At 35.5% G+C, this 21,400-nt stretch overlaps 1 long non-coding RNA gene across 2 annotated transcripts in view; it reads right to left on the bottom strand.

Moving 5' to 3' along the window:
- LOC105378339 (uncharacterized) overlaps positions 1-21,400 on the bottom strand; it is a 145,924-nt gene that overhangs the window by 81,367 nt on the left and 43,157 nt on the right. Inside the window, exons 2-3 of one of the 2 annotated variants that reach the window (XR_001747476.2) lie at positions 13,049-13,125; positions 10,970-11,050 (exon numbers count right to left, since the gene is read on the bottom strand). This is a non-coding gene — a long non-coding RNA (uncharacterized LOC105378339). Of the gene's footprint in view, positions 1-8,778; positions 11,051-13,048; positions 13,126-21,400 lie in introns of those variants that run through there. The other variant, XR_946023.4, reaches the window with a different exon arrangement.

The following is a 21,400-nucleotide window of genomic DNA, read 5'->3' on the forward strand; positions in this document are numbered from 1 at the left end:
AGTCCTTTGAGCCTGGGCTCTCATGTGTTCTGAGAGCATCCATAAAACTGTGGCAAGTTAACGTGCTAAATCACAGCTACCATAAGATTTCGGACTCTTCATAGCTCCTGACAGTAATCATAACTGGCTTACTATCCTTCTCTGCTAACTCTAACATATGCCTCAGTTCTAGGTTGATTTCAATTCATTTATTATTTTATTATGGGTTGTATTTGCCTGCCTCTTTTCATGCCTGGTAATTTTTTATTGGATATCAGGCACTGAGAATTTCACTTTGTAAGTGCTGGATAATTTTATATTCCTGTACATATTCTTGATCTTTGCCCTGGGTTGCTGTTAAATTACTTGGAAACAGTTTTAGCCTTTTTGGTTTTGCTTTTAAGATTTCTAACTTAGGTAAGGTCGCAGTGGTGCTTAATCTAAGGAACATTATTCCCTACTACTAAGGCAAGACATTTCTGTGTGCTCTGTCCAACGCCACAAATCATGAGATTTTCTAGTCTGGCTGGTGAGAACAGGCATTCTCCCCAGCCCCACATAAGTGCTAATCATGTGGAGTGCTTTTTTCTTGGCCTCAAGTAGTTTCCTCCCAGGAATGCACTGATTAGTACTCAGCTGAATACTTAACAGGAACCACTGCCTATCTCCAGAGTTCTTTTTTTGTGCAGCTCTCCTCTCTGTTACTCTGCCCTGTGAATTTTAGCATGTTGGTTTTCCCAGACTCTCAACTGTGTCTTTTCCACTTAGGAGATCTGCCAGTTCCCTGTGGGCTTCTCTCTTTCACTGCAATGCTTCTTAGAAAGTCTTGCAAGGCAGAAAGCTGGGAAAATTGTAAAGCTAACTTTATTTGTTTACCAGTTCCCAGGGATTACTTTCTTTCATTTCCTGATATTCAGTGCAGTGTCTTAAAAAATAATTTTATATATCTTATCCAACTTTTGAAGTTTTAGGTGGAAAGGTAACTCTGAACACTATTACTCCATCTTGGTCAGAAGTAGAAGTCTTTACCAGTAAAATTTTTTCTCATGGAACATTGTTCTTAGAGCAGCAAAGGTTTAGTAACATTGGATTAAATTATTTTTATACATTCAAATATATTATCTTATTCTAAAGTAAATATTTGCATAATCATTAACATAAACACTTTGTTTTCCATTTTTAAAAATTATGATGTATAAAATGTGGAAGAAAATCTGCTTGATATACATCTTGACGAAGTAAAAATAATGACTAATCTGATAAACACTGGGGCTGGAAGATAGGAGAATCATACAAGAAAGTATAGAGAGATTGAATTTCTCTGCTTACATAGTGATATGGTTTGGCTCTGTGTCCCTACCCAAATCTCATCTTGAATTGTACTCCCATAATCCCCACATGTTGTGGGAGGGACCCGCTGGGAGATAATTTGAATCATGGGGGCAGTTTCCCTCATATTGTTCTCATGGTAGTGAATATGTCTGACGAGATCTGATGGTTTTTTCAGGGATTTCTACTTTTGCATCTTCCACACTTTCTCTTGCTGCCACCATGTAAGAAGCGCCTTTCACCTCCTACCATGATTCTGAGGCCTTCCTAGCCATGTGGAACTGTAAGTTCAATTAAACCTTTTTCTTCCCAGTCTTGGGTATGTCTTTATCAGCAGCATGAAAATAGGCTAATACACATAGAAAATCGAGAAAAAAATATTTTAAATCTTTAGTATTAGATTAAGAGGCCTGAGTTTTTAATTTAAATACATTAAAATAACCAGTAGGTGGTATTTATACATTGCAGTTTTTAAGAGCATACAATCCTGCCTCAGAATTGCAGAGATTAAATCCTGCTATTTAATTATTGTAATTTGGACAGGTTAAGCTCTCTCTGTCATCATTTCCTTAAAGAAGAAAATTTGAAAATAACTACACTAATGGAGTTATTTGGAGGAATAAATAATATACAAAAATTACATTATATGGCCGGGCGCAGTGGCTCACGCCTGTAATCCCAGCACTTTGGGAGGCCGAGGCAGGAGGATCACGAGGTCAGGAGATCGAGACCATGGTGAAACCCCGTCTCTACTAAAAAATACAAAAAAAATTAGCCGGGCACGGTGGCAGGCGCCTGTAGTCCCAGCTACTTGGGAGATTGAGGCAGGAGAATGGTGTGAACCTGGGAGGCGGAGCTTGCATGAGCCGAGATTGCGCCACTGCACTCCAGCATGAGCATGGGCAACAGAGCAAGACTCCGTCTCAATAAATAAATAAATAAATAAATAAATAAATAAATAAATAAATAAATAAAATTTAAAAATTACATTATATATCTGACATATAGTAAGCATTAACTATTTTGGACCTTTAAAAATGATAATTTTGTATGGTTTAACCATATGTACATATATTCTACGTTGCCATGTGTATAAATAAATCTGTTTTTACTGTAGATAATTCATATACATGTCTTAAAAATGACAAATCAAAGGAGGGGTATTCATCAGTGATCTAGTACCATTACCAGAAGAACAATATAAGTAAAATCATCATGAATATTTAGCTGATGTATATGGATATGGGGCTGGGAGAGGAGGAAAGTATTGTTCAAATATGCTTATCCAATTTTAGCCTGCAATAATAATAGAAATAACAATAAGAATAAAAATAACTGCTTCCATGAATTTTTACTCATTTTTAAATTCTACATTTTTTTGCTACCCCATATCACAGACATCAAATTCTACTTTTAAACTAATAAAATGTAAGTTTTACATGATATTTCTTTAAAATGTTGAATTTTTCTATCAGATATTCTGGAGTTTTTGTTTTCCACAGTAAATCTACATAGTTATTTGAGATGTATACTTTTTACCTATAGTTACAATTTACATTCCCACACCAAAATGATTACTGATATAGTTGAGTAAATAAAATATATATATCATAACATTTAAATGACAAAATTATAATATAAAGAAAAGAAAATATTCAAGAATTATATAGTATGTATTTTCAAATTAGGGTCCTTGTAAGAGACTGATTATACCCAGGTCAAGAAGGAAGTAAGACTTAAATGGCTGCAATAAGTGAAGTCCATCCGGGCCAAAATGAGGACTAGCTGTCCAATCTCCTCTGAGCCTAAGAACTTTAGCAACTGTTCCAGTTTTGCTCATGGTTGCAAAATGTTTCCTATATGGCAGAGATGTAGAAGAGACAATTTTTTAAAAAAATAATTAGAGTGGAATATTGTATATTTATATTCTATAGAAGTTTTTTCCACCTTGTTTATAGTCTTTTTAAATGTTGATGAATTCCTTAAAATGCGGAATAAGACAAAAATAGGCTGGGCATGGTGGTTCACTCATGTAATCTCAGCACTCTGGGAGGCTGAGGCAGGTGGATCACCTGAGGTCAGGAGTTTGAGACCAGCCTGGCCAACACAGTGAAACCCTATCTCTACTAAAACTACGAAAAGTTAGCTGGGCGTGGTGACACACCTTGTAATCCCAGCTACAAGGGAGACTGAGTCAGGAGCATCGCTTGAACCCGGGAAGGGGATGTTGCGGTGAGCAGAGATGGCACCACTGCATGCCAGCCTGGGAGACAGAGAAAGACTCTGTCTCAAAAAAATAAAAATTAAAAAAAGAAAGACAAAAATATTGGTCTTTATTCATTTAGCCAGGTACCAAGGAACTCCATCCCTTTTAAAATTAAAATATGAAATGAACAACTAGTTGGAAAATCTAGGTTACCTTAGGTTCCCACATGCCTCCCATAGTTAGATCCCTCCTTTCTCATGTCTTGAGATCCTGCTGCACTTGAAGCCTACCTCACTTATTGCACTCATCACATTGTAATGATATTAGTTTCCTTTCACATCAGCGATACCTCTTTAAATGAAAAATCTAACACTCCTACACAAAAGGTGCTCAACAAATGTTGACTTATCTTAATTTTGTTCTTCTTCTAAATTTATACAAACATTGTGCATACAAATACTCACTTCATCTAGTCCCCTATAACAATCTTCTAAGAAGCAGCTCTCTTCATAAGCATATCTCTTGGTCCTTTAAGAATTAGAAGTTTCTGGGTGGGTGCGGTGACTCACGCCTGTAATCCCAGCACTTTGGGAGGCCGAGGTGGGCGGATCACGAGGGACAGGAAATCGAGACCATCCTGGCTAACAAGGTGAAACCCCATTTCTACTAAAAATACAAATTAGCCAGGTGCGGCGGCACACGGAATCCCAGCTACTTGGGAGGCTGAGGCAGGAGAATTGCTTGAACCCAGGAGGCGGAGGTTGCAGTGAGCCGAGATCGCGCCAACTGGACTCCAGCCTGGGCGACAGAGTGAGAATCCGTCTCAAAAAGAAAACAACAACAACAAAAAAAAAAGAATTAGAAGTTTCCATGGAATTAGCTAAGTTCTTTCATTCAACCAGCAGATTATGTGTCAGCTCTTAGTGCATTTAAAATTCTGGCCTATCATTATGATAATATATAAAACTCTTACCATAGGAGGAATAAATACTAGATAAACATTAATTCCATGTGAATTTCTTTTCTTCTTTTGTTTTTGGAGAGGGAGGCTCGCTCTGTCACCCAGGCTGGAGAGCAGTGAGGCAATCTCACCTCACTGCACCCTCCGCCTTCTTAGATGAAGCGATTCTCCTGCCTCAGCCCCTGGTTAGCTGGGACTACAGGCCCGTGTCACCACGCTCTGCTAATTTTTTTGTATTTTTAGTAGAGACGGGGTTTCACCATGTTGGCCAGGCTGGTCTCAAACTCCTGACCTCCTGACGGCCCAGCTTGGCCTCCCAAAGTGTTGGGATTACAGGTGTAAGCCACTGCACCCAGCCTCCATGTAAATTTCATATGAGAAATAATTCAAGTACATATTTAGTATTGCTAAATCTGACTTTCTCTAGTAAACATTTATTTTCATAGACAATCTCATAGGCAAATTTTAAAAAAATGTGTCCATTTGCTAAGAGAAGTTGGTCATTACCTTTTATACTCATGACACTATAGTTATGCCAAACATTCTTCATTACTTTCTTAAATTGTGTAGAACATAATTTTTCTAGAAAATAACCTTGGTGGATAAATATAATGTGTTTTCATATTTATTTAGTAACATTATAAATATAGAAGTGCCTACCAAGGATAGTTTAGCTACAGCCACATGTAATTACATTCTGGTGATCTGCTTTGCCTATGTCAGTTTCCAAACTTCAGAGATGTGCTAGCTATACTCCAGTTGTTCAGAGTCAGTACTTTCAACATATAAGAAATTTGTTGGCCGGGTGCGGTGGCTCACGCCTGTAATCCCAGCACTTTGGGAGGCCAAGGCGAGTGGATTACCTGAGGTCAGGAGTTCAAGACCAGCTGGCTAACATGGAAAAACCCCGTTTCTACTAAAAATACAAAAAAATAGCCGGACGTGGTTGCGCATGCCTGTAATCCCAGCTACTCGGGAGGCTGAGGCAGGAGAATCGCTTGAACCAGGGAGGTGGAGGTTGCAGTGGGCCGAGATCACGCCATCACACCCCAGCTTGGGCAACAAGAGCAAAACTCCATCTCAAAAAAAAAAAGAAATTTGTTTTTGCATTTAAGTGTCTGGTGTGTGCCAAGAACATATTTTTGAATGGGCATTATGTTCAACTTAATATTTTAAATATGGAAAGGTTACATGGGAATGCCTTGGATGGACCATTTTAAGAGATAAAAAAATCAGTGTATTTATTTGCCATCTTTAAAATCATCATCATCAACAATAGCAAAAGCAAAATGACATATTTTTCTTCTCTTTGGTTTTTGTGTCCCAGATAGGTGCCCTTTATTTGCAGTAGTTGTAAAAGAAGATGAAGAGCTGTAGTATGAACTTTTTATTACCTCAAGGTCTCAAGAGATAATGGTGGAACAGGTTTCTGGTGTATCAAATTTTATTTCACAAAGTGCAAATGCAAATGCTTTAATAAAAACAATATGTGAACAGAAAAACTTGTTAAAAATGTCAGAAGGAAGTTCACAAGAATTCTATTTGCTTTTTTTTTTAAAAAAAGGTGGCATTTAGGTATTTGAAAACATTATTGTTACTTCTCATCTCTGTCTACTATTATCAGAAATAAAGCAGAATTTACCAAATAACTGCTTTAAATGTAGGTGATATCTAAATAAATATAAAAAAGAATATATTAAAATATTTTAATCACTGATTTTATGAAACCTCAATCCCCCCTACCCACCAAGACCTTTTCTCATATATAACTTTACGTCATTAATTTGAAAAAGATAGCTTACATTCTGGGAAATTTCAAAGTATTTTCTGCTAACGCGTATGCTTTTCTCTTTGAGTAATTTTTTTTTTTAAATTGAGATGGAGTTTCACTCTTGTTGCCCAGACTGGAGTGCAATGGTGTGATCTCGGCTCACTGCAACCTCTGCCTCCTGGGTTCAAGCGATTCTCCTTGCCTCAGCCTCTCCAGTAGCTGGCATTACAGGCACCCACCCCCATGCCCAGCTGTTTTTTTGTATTTTTAGTAGGGACAGGGTTTCATCATGTAGGCCAGGCTTGTCTTAAACTCCTAATCTCAGGTGATCCATCCACCTCGTGGATGGATCCCAACGTCCTGGGATTACAGCCATGAGCCACCATGCTCGGCCGAGTAATGTTTTAATTAATGAAATATGGACACAAAATAAAATCAAAACCATTATTTAAATTATTATTGCAGTAGATTTTATGAAGGGTTAGTGTTGACTATCTTTTTCTAAAGGATGCAATAGTATCAAAAATAATCAATGTAAATTTTTTTCAATTTTGTTATCCTGTTTTATATTACTGTGGTCCTTTATTACTGTGGTCCTTAATTGACATTATTAGTCATTATGGTATCTTGTATTATTTTTCTATTTAACTATCTTATTAGAAGTAGAACAATTATATTTTTCTATAGTGCATGAATTTTTATTGCTTTACATGATATCATAAAATGTAATTTGAATTTTATTAAACTAAGTATACTGTATTTATAAATAGAGGAATACAGCATAAATTCAGCAAATGCTTATTTTAGTGGAGTCTGCAGAAGACACTAGTATAACAGAACCATAATTCCTGACCTCCTGTCATTTATAATATAATTAGGATAGAATAAGACCTGGTATTGGCTAACATAACAGGGTGAGTATAATCAAAAATAATTTAGCTGTACATTTAAAAATAACTAGAAGAGTGTAACTGGGTTGTTTGTAACACAAAGAATAAATGCTTGTGGTGATAGATACCCCATTTACCCACATATGATTATTAGACATTGCATGCCTGTATCAAAATGTCTCATATAACCCATACATATATACCCATTATATACCCACAAAATAAAAAATAAAGTCACAATACAATTAAGCTAAATAAATTCTTGTATGCATAATTTAATAAAAGAGTAGAGTATAATGGGTGCTCAATGAAGGTTTACCTTCTACTATGGAAGTTTGGAATGTTGGAGATGCTTCAGGTAAAGAGATGTAGAAAGGCTTCTTAGAGAAAATATAAATTGAACTTTGAATTATAGACAGCTTTTATTTATCAGTATGAAAGGGGAATGGGATTGAGGGAATTTCTTGGCAAAGTGAACCAACATATATAAGCAGAATAACAAAATTAAAGTAATGATACTTCTTTTTATTAAATGTAATTCTTTGTCACTTCCCAGCTATTTGTTTAAGGTTTCTTGCTAACCTCATGAGCTCCCCCAGCTTCTTCCTAGGGCTATTTTGATACTAAAAGGGTTATTTCATATAAAGTATTTAGCACAATGACTGGTACATAATCAGTATTCAATACACACTTACTTGTACTTATTATAATTATTTTATTAAATTCAAAAATATAGAAATGTAAATATTATCATTAAAGTAAATTCCTGGAGTGTAAAAAATATTTTTGTAAAACAAAAAAAAAATTTTTGAGTTTAATAATCAAAGTAAATTCTACAGGGATTTTAACATCTATCAAGACAAATGCCCAACTAAACTTATACTAACTTTATGTGCATTATGTAGATATAGTTTTTCTTTACTCAATTAGCTGAATGGTGGTAGGTGACATATTTCCCCTATTGAGTTATTTATTTCTTAGGATTAAAATGCCAACATTCCTAGTTTTAATGTTCATGCTAATTGGCCAATAATATATGTTGATTAGTGCAGTACTTAGTGGGCTAGATAGGAAAATTAATAAAAGCAAAAAACATGGTGTTTGAAAAGTAGTTTTGATTATGTTATTATTTACATAGAACATTAAGAAACCTCAATTCTTAATTGTGAACTAGGTATTATTTTAACATTTTTATATTGCATTAGGGGGAACCTCAGTGTCTGAAAATCTACCAGGGGATAAAAATGCCCAAGAATATCTTGTGGAACAATTTAAAATTTTTAGCTTATATTGGTCATTTCTACACTTGCAAAGTTATGTATAATGTTAAAATCCCCCAGTGTATATCAACCATTCAGCCCTACCTAACTCAAAGGAAATAGTAAACTTCCAATGTGTCTGTTGAAATGCCCACCAAGTTATTTTTACTAAGTTCACTCCATAGAGAATAATAGGGAAAGAAACAGTTATTATCACATCATTATCATCTTTAGCCAAGTGAGATTTATTATAATAATTCAGCCTGCTAGTTTGTAAATTATTTCCTGCCCTACTATTATCTTTGTCCTCTATATCTGCAAATGAAAACTCTTTACATCAAAACCCCCTGGAAAATGACAATGAATGAAAACTGCAAAAAACATTCTGTCACAAATTTATTTACACATTCTCTGAAGCTGTAGTATTTAAGATTTGACAATTAAAGCTGCATCACATTTCTTGTGCTTTCGTTCTGTATTGTTAATTAGCATTTCCTGTATAGAATTCCTTTTCCTCCAATCTAGATTAAATGCATAAAACAATAACAACAACAAAACCTGAAGCAAAGGCTATTTATTAGTGTCTTCATATATAGATGTCAATTAAACAAAATCAGAAAGCCAGTCTTGGTAGTGTCTACAAAAATTCAGGCTTTTCTTCCCCTACTTTCATTTCTTTTTATTTTAAAATAGCTTGACACAATGTACGGGGTATGATTTTCATCCTGTAACAATTCTATAATCCTTATTTGATCATCATTACAAATACACACTATTTTTATTCCCAAGTAGAAGTTGTGTTTAGAGATATTACAGATAATTTTACAAGAACATTTACATTGTTTGTCTTAACCTCTTCAAAGGCTCAAGATTGGGTTGCTTGTGTGTAACTGCCAACCCCTTTAATGAAAGTGTTTTAAGCTGTTGGTTCTTTCTTCTTTAGTACATGAGTAATTGATACAATAAACCATAATAGCTCCAATTATATAAATACATATTTAGGGACTTTTTAGAACACATTTTTTTACACAATCTAATAGCTCCTTCAGAGCTGTTAGAAACTATTGTTTCACAATCTAGTTGAGCGTGCCTCCTAACACGTAAATTCTCAACTCTTTAACATTCATATTAGTGACAAAAATGTATCATAAAACTTCTCTTGTCGTTGCAGTTATAGCTTGCAATGAAAATAATTTATGTTCTAGTTGCGCATCACGAATTTGTGATCTCTTCTTTACAGTCGTTAAATGCATGTGTGTATACACAAAGATTGAACTGCCAGCAAACACAACAAAACTACGTGCCTTCTCAAAACTCTCAAGTGAATGTCAAGCACATTGTTTAACAATCTGGAATAAGTATAGTTAATCAAAGACAAATGGCTTTTAATTTAAGTTAAAATGCAGTTATTCTTAAATATTCATACAATATCTGGCAGTAATGTTAAAGGTGATTATATAACTTATGTTACTTAGCTGCAAAAGTACACATGAAACAAAAGTTGTGTTTGGCTAATATTATACCTACACAGCAATCAAATTCCAGATCAATTTAAGAAGTTGTCATTGGAGTGCTCTCATCTTTTGATTAAATAGCTGTGTCACTTTAGTTGAACTTATCCAAGGTCTGAGGTATGAACTCGTGTTGCATATGAATCCTATTCCTCAAATAAATAGACCTCATTGTTTGGTCAATTTTTAGAAATTCACATTGTCTAAGAAATAGACTGTCCATCAATAGCCTTGACTTTTCATGCACTGGAAAGCAAATGTGAAATTCTACTTTCTGGTATAGAGTTCGCACTTACATTCTAAAGGTTTTTGAATTATTTACTTAATTCCTCAATTATATTCCTTTCCCCACTTCCCACTACCACTACCATACATCCCCAGCTGGAAGATGGAAAAGGCTAATAAAGTACAAGTGTCCTTTTGGACGTGCAATTTATTTAACAGAAGTTCAATAAATACAAGAAGTTCAAATTTAATTTGGTTTCAATCATATTTAAATTGAGATTTTAATTCATTCAGGTGAAAACTTCAGTATTTTCCATGCTTACAGTTTCAAAGAAGGTTTTTGGTGTGGGTGTGTGTTGGTTGGTTGGTTTAATTAATCAATTATTTATGTACAACTGGCAAATAAAAATTGTATGGGTTTATCATGCACAACATAATGTTTTGAAATATGTGTACATTGTGGAAAGGTTACATTGAGCTAATTTTGAGAAGGATTTTGAAAATTGTCAAACTTGAATTTTAATCCCAGTTCTGCCATAGAGCAGTTAAGTTGGTTGCACATAATAATCTTTAAAGTTAGTGTTTGAATCTGTAAAACAGAAATAATAATAGCCATTAAATAAAAATGTTGTGAGAAATTACTGAAATCCCAAATGTAAATCACCTAGTTTTATGTCTCCATGTCTGCATAGAAACCCTTAATTCCATTTATATTCCATTTAAATTTTGATATTTAAATATGTCATTTCAATCAATACCACTAAATTCTTCTGTGCACATCTTGTCTTTGTTGATTTGCTTGTTTGTCTGTTAAGGGACTCCAAAACATGTTACTTACATGAACTCTTTTCATAAGAGGACATACTTCACGGCAGCAGATTTTCTGCTCTTCTCCAGAGAAGCTCAGACATTTTTCCTTCTATCGAACAACCAAGAGTTGATAATTAGATTTTGTCCCAAGATAATGCCTGCTTGTTAAAAAATTTCTCATTTAGAGGTTAATTTCCATGATGTGGAATTCTGCCTCTGTAATCTCAAAAAGCACAACTCAGAAAACCCGAAGGCTCTGAAAAATCAGTGCCACCTGATAACATGTTTAACTACAGGATATTCTGTCATCTCTCCACAATTCTTTTGTTCCATGATTTAAAATCAGTGTAAGAAGGGAACTCACATAACACAGTCCTGGACGCATGTTTTGCAGGTGAGAAAATCTCAGAATATAGGAAGGGAAATGGATTAGTCTATTCTCACACTGCTATAAAGATACTACTCCAGACTGGGTAATTTATAAACAAAGGTTTAATTTACTCACAGTTCTGCATGGCTGGGGAGGCCTCAGAAAACTTACAATCATGGCAGAAGGGAAAGCAGGCACAACTTAAATGGCAGCGGGTGAGAGAACGTGTGCAGGAAGTGAAGGGGGAAAAGCCCCTTATAAAACCATCAGCTCTCATGAGAGCTCACTCACTATCACAAGAATGGCAATGGAGGAACCCTCCCCCATGATCCAATCACCTTCCACCTGATCCTTCCCTCGACACACGGAGATTATGGGGATAAAATTCGAGATGAGATTTGGGTGGGGACACAGAGCCAAACCAAATCAGGACATAACCTAGGTCACTTAAGAAGTGACCTACACACATCTGAACTAGTTTATGCCTCAGTTAATGCCTTTTATTTACCGTACACTTTGCCTCTGCTGAAAATGTTTTCTGTTCTATGGATAAGTGCCCCTAAGAATATGCCACATGTAAATACTCCACTCTGAGAAAAGGAAATGCTGAAACCTCTTTTGTGGGAAAAGACAAAAAACAAACAAACAAAAAACCAGAAGACTACATGCTGCAGACTTTGCTGACATTCCTTTGGATACAGTCTAACCCAAAGTTTGGGATGAGTCCAGTAGCCACAGTCACTATAGGGTCTTGCTGGCATGTTTCAGGTGAGGTATTTGAAAGTCAGCAAGGCTGATAATCATCACCATTGTCCAGGCTCAAAGTAAATAATAGGGACAACCTGCTAAACCTGCTGAACTGAAGTGGATGGACTTCATTATGCTTCCATATTGACAGCTTGGGGATCTCTCTCCCAAATGGAAATTTTAGTAAGGGTATTTGGTTTGTTTTCTAAAAAACATACACAACAATTTACGACTATTACAGTGACTTGTTTTAATACACTCATAGCTTTTTTTCCCCTGTAGATATGACCTTATTTCCATTTAAAGAATATTCACATGAACTAACAACAGTGAAAAGTAAGGAAATGTTCTGCAACTTTCCCAAATTAATTAAGCCAGGGAGAAAACCAGGACTTAAACTTGGGTCATATAACTACCAGAACTGTACTCCTTCTAACACACTATTTTGCTTACTCTAATTTTCCATGAAGGGCATTATTAGAACCCATATCTGTTTCTTATTCCTAGGTAGAATGGCAATGTTGATGGCTATGATATTAGAGCTGGAAAATACCCCTCAAACATCTCATCATTATGAATGGCCCTGGCTAGAAGTTGACAAAATGTTTTCTGCAAAAGATCATATAATAAATATTTCAGGTTTATGAACTATAGGGTCTCTATTACAAGTACCCAACTTATCTGTTGTGTCATAAAAAGCAGCAATAGACAATACTACAACATGTTGCTCAAAAAGGTTTGTTTGGTCAAATTATTTGAAGAATTATCCAATAATCTTACCCTTTAATAGAGGTTGAGCATATTAAACACTCAAAGAAGTATGCCAATTTAGGAACCACTGTTTCCTAAATATTTTAACTATAAAATATCCTTCTTTATTCCATAAAGATGTATTTAGTACATAATAAATTCCAGGCCAGTGGTGGGATAAGAAAGAAATGATCATTGCTTTTTTGGACACTAAAGCCGAGTGATGAATATGTTACTTACCTGAACTCTTTTCATAAGAAGACATGCTTCACAGCAGTAGATTTTTCTGCTCTTCTCCAGAGAAGCTGAATATAGACCTGAAATAAATACTCAACTTATTGCAATTTAGTAACTATTATATAAATAGAAGGAAGTACTATGAGTGTGTGTAACATGGGAATCTAGGATAACTCGGAGGATCAGGGAAGGCTCCTCTAATATTTAAAGGCATGATATGTAAGTGAAAAGCTGAAGGGTAACTACTCTACAAGGCTAAGAAGAAGCAGAAGAGTGCATGAGTAGAAATAGCTCAATGAGTAGAAGAATCTGAATCATGAAGAAGTTTCAAATATTTGAAGACAAAGTGGACCGTGGACCTGGTAAACAAGGGGAAGTTCAGACACAATGTATTAGATGATTTTAGTGCATGGTTATAAGCAAAAGGAATGACAGTAATACCACAAGGGAGGGGAAGAGGGATTGGGAATATTGTGCTATAAAGTACCTAGGTACACTACATTTGAAATGGAACAGTATTTTTAAAGATAGAATTAGATTATTTAAAAATATGTATGTAAACTCTAGGCAACCGCTAAGATTTTTTAAAAAGAATATGACTAATGCTATGAAAAAAGATAAAATGAAATCATAAACTCAATTATACCAGAGAAGGTAGAAAATGAAGCCTCTGGCAATGCATAGAAAATTATTAGAAACAGGATTGATATGAGTCAAAATATATCAGTAATAATCTATTTAAATGTGAATGACCTAAATGCACCCATTAAAGAATGTTTTGTCAGAATACATATAAAAGGCCTCACTATGATGTCCACAAGAAAGCTAATTTAAATATAAATACTCTAACATGTAAAATAAAGGGATAAAGATACACCATAGTAACACTGATCAAAAGCAAATGGAATCAGCATGTTAATTTCAAACAAAGCAGGATTCAGAGTGAGTAAAATTATCAGGAATAAACGGGGGTACTATTTAAAAATGTTTATTCTCTAAGAGATATCAATCCATAGTTTATAGGCCCCCAACCACAGAATATCAAGGTACATGAAGTAGGCCAAGCAGGGTGGCTAAAGCCTGTAATCCCCGCACTTTGGAAAGCTGAGGTGGGCTGATCACAAGGTCAGGAGTTCGAGACCAGCCTGACCAACATGGTGAAACCCCATCTCTACTAAAAATACGAAAATTAGCTGGATGCGGTGGCGTGCACCTGTAATCTTAGCTAGTCAGGAGGCTGAGGCAGGAGAATCGCTTGAACTCAAGAGGTGGAGGTTGCAGTAAGCTGAGATCACCCCACTTCACTCCAGCTGGGGTGACAGAGTGACACTCCATCTCAAAACAAAACAAAAAAACACTAACATATCTCCAAATACAAATAGACAAATCCACTATCGTTAATTGATAGTCTGATTAATTGATAACTCAAGCGGGCAGAAATCCATTAAGTATATACATGATCTGACCAGCACTAACAATCAATTCAATCTAATTGTCATTTATATAATACTCCATTTGACTAAAGAAGAACACATGGGCTGGGTGCGGTGGCTCACTCCTGTAATCCCGGCACTTTGGGAGGCTAAGGTGGGTGGATCACGAGGTCAGGAGTTTGAGAACAGCCTGACCAACATGGTAAAACCCCATCTCTACCAAAAACACAAAAATTAACCAGGCGTGGTAGCGCACGCCTGTAATCCCAGCTACTCAGGAGCCTGAGGCAGGAGAATCGCTTGAACCTGGGAGGCAGAGGTTGCAGTGAGCCAAAATTTTGCCACTGCACTCCAGCTGGGCAACATAGCAAGACTCTGTCTCAAAAAAAAAAATACGTGTTCTCTAGCTTGCATGAAATATTCAGCAAGGTAAACCATATTCTGAGCAATAAAACATACATTCACAAATTAAAAAATATATATGAGTCATACAAAGGATGTTATCAGTAGAATTAAACTAGAAATCAGTAGTGGAAACATGCCTGAGAAATCCCTAAATATTTCGAAATTAAACAACACTCATTCAAACTATGGGTAAAAGAAGTCTCAAGATAAATTTTTTTAAAATTTGAACTAAAAATTATAATAAAATTCGTCAAAATTTGTGGGAAAGAAATGCTAAGAGAATGCAAAGGCAATAGCCAAAGTTTTTACATTAGAAAACTGGCAAAAGAAGAGCACATGAAATTTAAATCAAGAAGAAGGAAATAAATAATAAAAACTAGAGCAGAAATCAGTGAAATTATAAAAAGGAAAACAATAGAAAAAAACTAGTGAAATCTTATCCAGTTACATGGAAAAATCAATATAATTGATAAACCTTTAGCTGGGTTGTATCAGGGCAGTCTCTCACTGCTAAAAGAAATCCTTGAGACTGGGTAATTTACAAACAAAGGAGGTTTAACTGGCTCATGGTTCTGCAGGCTGTACAGGAGACATGATGGTGGCATCTGCTTGGCTTCTGGGGAGGCCTCAGCAAAGTTATAATCATGGCGGAAGGCAGAGGAAGGTGGCACTTCACATGGATGGAGCAGGAGAAAGGAGGGGGGGACGGTGCCACACACTTTTAAACAACCAGATCTCATGATAAATCTGTCATGAAAACAGGACCAAGGGGATGGTGCTAAACCATTCATGAAGGATCCACTCCCATGATCTGATTACCTCTTACCAGGTCCCACCTCCAACACTGGGGATTACAATTCACCATGAGATTTGGTGGGGACACAGATCCAAACCATATCATGCATTAACGAAGAAATAAGAGAAGAGACAAAAATTACAAATATCTGAAATGCATTGGGGTCATCACCATGATTCTCATAGACATTAAAATAATAAGAAACACTGTGAACAAGTCAATGTCCACAGATTTGATAATATACATGAAATGACCAATTTCTTGTAAGACATAAACTACCATAATAATTAATAACCTGCAAATAACAAATTGTCAGGTCTATAGGGCTCTGATCTTGGTTTGTAATACCATTATCCGATAATAGAAACCAGGACTCCACAGAAAAATGACTGATTCTAGGATTGAGCAGGAAATGTAAAAGATGATCCTGGAACATCTTACAGCATCAGAAGTAAGAAACTGCTAAAAAGAAAAAAACCCAAATAGGTTGTAGGTATGCCAGAGGTATACAAGAGCCAACTGAAAGAGTGTGGCATGGCCAAAGTTGGGAAGTTTTGATCAAGTTAATAAAATATTATTAGAATTTAACCCAAAGTATAAAATAAGTATCCATGAATCTACAGTGGTAGAAATAAATGGTTGCAAAATAAATAAATATTACAGACGATAAAAATATCCTGTGCAGAAGACATGCTAATAATTTATGTGGCTACTCAACCCTCCAGGGGAAGAATGATAACTCTCAGTTCCCCAATGTGGGCTTCTAATAATAGTTTTATTTCAATAGTAATTAACGGAAATTCAGGGGTCATTTAAAATGAGGAAATTTGACAAACACTCTATCAACCCATGTGACCAAGGTTAATATCAACAGTGATGTCATGTTGATTGGATATACGCTTGATGTAAGAAAAATTACATTTTATTTATGTGGTCTTCACCCCAAAATACATTATCCCAGTCTGATCATGAGAAAAACATCAGACAAATTCTGATTGAGAGACATTCTACACAATACCCCAAAATTCCTCAAAACTGTTAAGATAATCAAAAACAAGAAAATCTGAGAAACTGTGACAGCCAAAAATTGCCTAAGGAAATGTAACAACTATATGTAATGTGGCATCCTGCATGGGTTCTTGTGACAGAAAATAACATTAGGGAGATACTGAGACAATCTGAACAAAGTATGGTTAATAAAGTGTGCCAACATTGATTCTTTAGTTGTGACAACTGTTCCAAACTAATGTAATATGTTAACAATAAAGGGAAGTGAATATGGGATTTGTGGGATTCCTATGTACTACATTTGCACATTTTCTGTAATTCCAAAACTATTCCAAAATAAAAAGTATACTTAAAACAAAACAAAACTCCAAAAGAAAAAAGAAAGGAAGAGAGAATTTCCAGGTAGAGAAGGCATAGATTATTCCTGGCTTTGTAGGCTATGTCATTGCTTTTGGATTTTATGCTCTGAAGAACCAGAGAATATTATAGGATTATAAGTATGTGTGTGTGTGTGTGTGTATGAGAGAGAGAGACAGAAAGAGAGAGAGAGAGCTAATAAAAGTAATTGGATATGATCAGACAAATGTGTGTAAAATATTTCTCAAGCTTCTGTGTGGAAAACAGATTGTACAGGATAGTGAACTATTGCCATAATTAAGGTTAAAGTTATTGAAGGCTGAAAATCACTGGATAGTCATATTTAGTGAGAAGAGAATGAATTCTATATTCCACATATATTAGGTAGAATTTTCAAGACTTAGCAATGATGTGGTAGTTTGGGAAGAAACATGTTTAGAAATGACATTCAAGTTCCTACCCTCTAGAAAAACCAGGATTTGTTCCATGGAACACACTTTGAGTGTTGCAGAGCTGAATTAAATAATTGTCTTCTGATACTTAGTTGAATGTTTTATTCATTATATTTGATATTGGTTTTGTAAATACCATTATATAGTAGGCCCTTGAATTTGATGGGGTTTTTTTGTTGTTGTTTCTTTTTGTTTTTGTTTTTGAGACAGATTTCAGCTTGTCACACAGGCTGGAGTGCAGTAGCGAGATCTTGGCTCACTGCAACCTCCGCCTCCTGGGTTCAAGCGATTCTCCTGCCTCCAAGCAATTCTCCTGCCTCGACCTCCTGACTAGCTGGGATTAAAGGCACATACCATCACACCAGGCTAATTTTTGTATTTTTAGTAGAGACAGGGTTTCTCCATGTTGGCCAGGCTGGTCTCGAACTCCTGACCTCAGAAGATCTGCCTGCCTTGGTCTCCCAAAGTGCTGGGATTACAGGTGTGAGCCACCGCAACTGGCAGGCCCTTACATTTGAGATGAATATTTTTCATGCTTCTCAAATTACCAAATATAATCTCTCCCACTAAATGAGGTAAGAAAAATTTAAATTTAATAAAAAGTAAATACAAGATATCCATTCAGACTCTCAATGAACGGTAACAGAGAATGATAAAGTCACAATAATGTGGGGATGTTAAACGGTGACTAGGTGCTCCTTGTCACATAATTTACATCTGCACCTAAATAAAATGACAAGTTACTTTTATTACACATTGTCAAATTTTTACGTGACTAGTCAGAAATATAATTGTTAAATTATCCGGTCCAAATACCCTCCATAGAAGTTTACCTTTTAAAGAGTTAAACATTTTAATAGATTATATTGGGGTGATTGTGACTCAAAAGTTCCATTTGGCCAGGCATGGTGGCTCATGCCGGTAATCTCAGCAATTTGGGAGGCCGAGGTAGGTGGATCCTTTGAGCTCAGAAGTTTGAGACCAGCCTGGCCAACATGGTGAAATCCCATCTCTACAAAAATTACAAAAATTATCTGGGTATGGTGGCAAGCCTGTAGTCCCAGCTATTTGGGAGGCTGAGGTGAGAGGATTGCTTGAACCCAGGGGGTTGAGGTTGCAGTGAGCAGAGGCTGTGCCACAGCACTCCAGCGTGGGCAACAGAGGGAAGCCCCGTCTCAAAAAAAAAAAAAAGGAAAAAAATGAAAGAAAAGAAAAGTTCTATTTGTTTCAGAGACTGTCAGGAATATTAAAACTCACTAATGATGTGAATTATTATGACATCACTCTATAATTTGGGCAGATGACCTGCAGCCAGTCGAATTCCAGCGTTACTTCCCTTCCTTTAATGAAAAATAAAATAGAATTTTGATCAAAATGTATTAACCAGTTTTCAGTCTCTCAGAAAGCAATCAGCTTCATCTGTGACACTGACTGTTCTCTCAATATCTAAAACAAATTGCATCAGTATATATTATCCATTATCTAAGAAGTCAACTCCCATATTTATCCCTATATGACAATTAGTGATAAATGAAGGGTTAGTGTGAGCAAAACATTATGTAGGATCTTGTAAAGAGATTTCCAGTTCTGCAGTGTGCTTTCTCAGCAAGAAATGTCTTGACTAATTCATGCCACTTGCCTGGAGGCAAGCATATCTCAATCCCAGAGAATGGAGCTCTGGATGTATTAGTCCAACTCCATTATGTTAAGCCTGGGTAATGTTGCCTTTAACCATCTAAAGATTTATAATTTATTAAAACTTCATGATGATACAATTCAGCCCCTTGAAATGGAACTCAGCTTGATTAATTAAATAGGCAAAATATGCCTTTCTTGCAGTTAGAGGAAATACACTCTTTAGAATACCCAAATTGATTATATATGTGTGTTCATGGATGAAAAAGGATAAACTACTGAATATTCCAGTGACAGAGTAATTTCTCAAAAACCTTTTTTTAATACAGTCAACCATGCATGGAGAAAACATTAATTGTGAAAATGCAATATGCACATGTACAAGAGACACTGAGAAGAATGTAACCATACAACATTACATATGGATGATCAGTCAGAATTCTTGGTGAATATGATTCTTCCTGTGGCTCAGATGCTTCTAAGTTTTATATTAGTTTAATTCTCTATGTCTGAAAAGAGAAGGTGGCAGCCAAAGACAGATAAATGTTTGGAAAGAGAAGGAATTTTTACAAGAGGATTTGGGTACTCTTACCCTTGTTATGTGAAATTTTGCTGGCTCAGCCTTGTCTGTTAGTCTCAGAACCACTGGACAAAGTTCAAATCTCTGACACTTCATAATATTCTATGTTAAGCCAAAATTACTTGATTGTGCTTGAAAACTTGGAAAAAAAAAAAAAGCCCCTAGAGTTGAAGTAACTATATGTCCGAGGCTTGGAGATAATTTGAGGACATAGAAGTGTTTCTGGGAGTCTAGTCCTTTACTCTCCACCCTTAGCAAAAAAGTTTTCTTTTTATTATACTTTTATTACACTTTTTGTTATAATTTATGTTGCTCAGAAGGAAAAAAGGAAAACAACAAGCTAAACTGTAAGAATAAACACGTTTTAAAAAGTCAAGCTTTGATCATTTAATACCCACTTTTTATGTATATCTATTTCCGCCTGATACATGTCACCTGGAATATTCACTGCCTTCAGAACCATCACACAATGTACATACATTCATACCCATACATAAAAAAAAATACGTGCAACAATCCACAGGATGTGGTCTTCACTGTAGCGCTATTGGGCTCTACAAAATCCTTTTAGAAATAAACATTGAGCAGAAGAGAAATAGTCATAAAATTATCACTTTAAAAAATAAAAGCCTAAGAAAAAATAACATGAACTGCTGGTATTTCCTTACTATAACCTTAAGCAAATTACTTAATTTCAGAGTCCATTTCTTCTCCTCTACAATGTATGTAAACTAAGAATTTGTACAAATTCAATCCAAAAACACTTCCAGATTTTCCTACAGCCTTTTTTATGACATCTGTTTTTCATGAAGATGACTGATTTACAACATTACAAAAGAATCTAGGCAAAATTTAAAAATTTTACTCATTGAATTTGAGCTTGTATTTTGCCTTGCATTAAAATTTTCCCATCTCACTTTTCTTACTTCAATCACTTTGCAGCAAGCTCAAATATGTTTTGTCAACATAGCAAAACACATTAAGCATAAAACCAAATTGGAGGTCACTCTTCATTGTATCAGAGTGAGTGTGTGCAGATCCTGTCACTGGAAGACACAAATACTTGCCAAAAGTAAATTGTTATAAGTTGTGTGCTCGTTTACTCTAAACTCATGTGATGATTTTAAAATAATGAAATAAATGAAGCATGTAATTTAAATGATACTTCATCTGTTAATGGAATTTGTGCCAAATTTCAATAGCTTTTGGTAGTGTTAATGTAATTTGATTTCTGAGCAATTAAGCAGCACATTTAGAATTGGCAAAATGATTAATTAGAAACTTTGGACAATGTGCCAAAAAAGTTAACTTTTTCCTCTTATGTAATTTCTTCCAGAGCATTCCAGGATCATAGGTTTATAAACATTGTAGATATTAGAGGTTATGGAGTCCAGCTGCCGGTCTGCTGCATACACAATGCCTACATTTTTCCTCGAAAGTAATTGCCAATATCTTATTGGAGCACACATTACCTTCCAAGAAAACATACTCCATTGTAAAAGGGTTTGAATTTTTTCTTTTTTAAAAACCTCCTTACATTTATCTATTACTTAAAATATTTTCAAAATATTTCAGAAACTCTGTGCTGGAAATGCAAGGTTTATTTAGGTGAAGTTCTTGCCTCCAGGGAGCTTGCAATCTAGTAAGAGATTAACAGATAAAACACATAATCAGGACTGCAGTTAATGC

This window comes from Homo sapiens, chromosome 10, assembly GCF_000001405.40.
Source record: "Homo sapiens chromosome 10, GRCh38.p14 Primary Assembly".
NCBI lineage: Eukaryota > Metazoa > Chordata > Mammalia > Primates > Hominidae > Homo > Homo sapiens.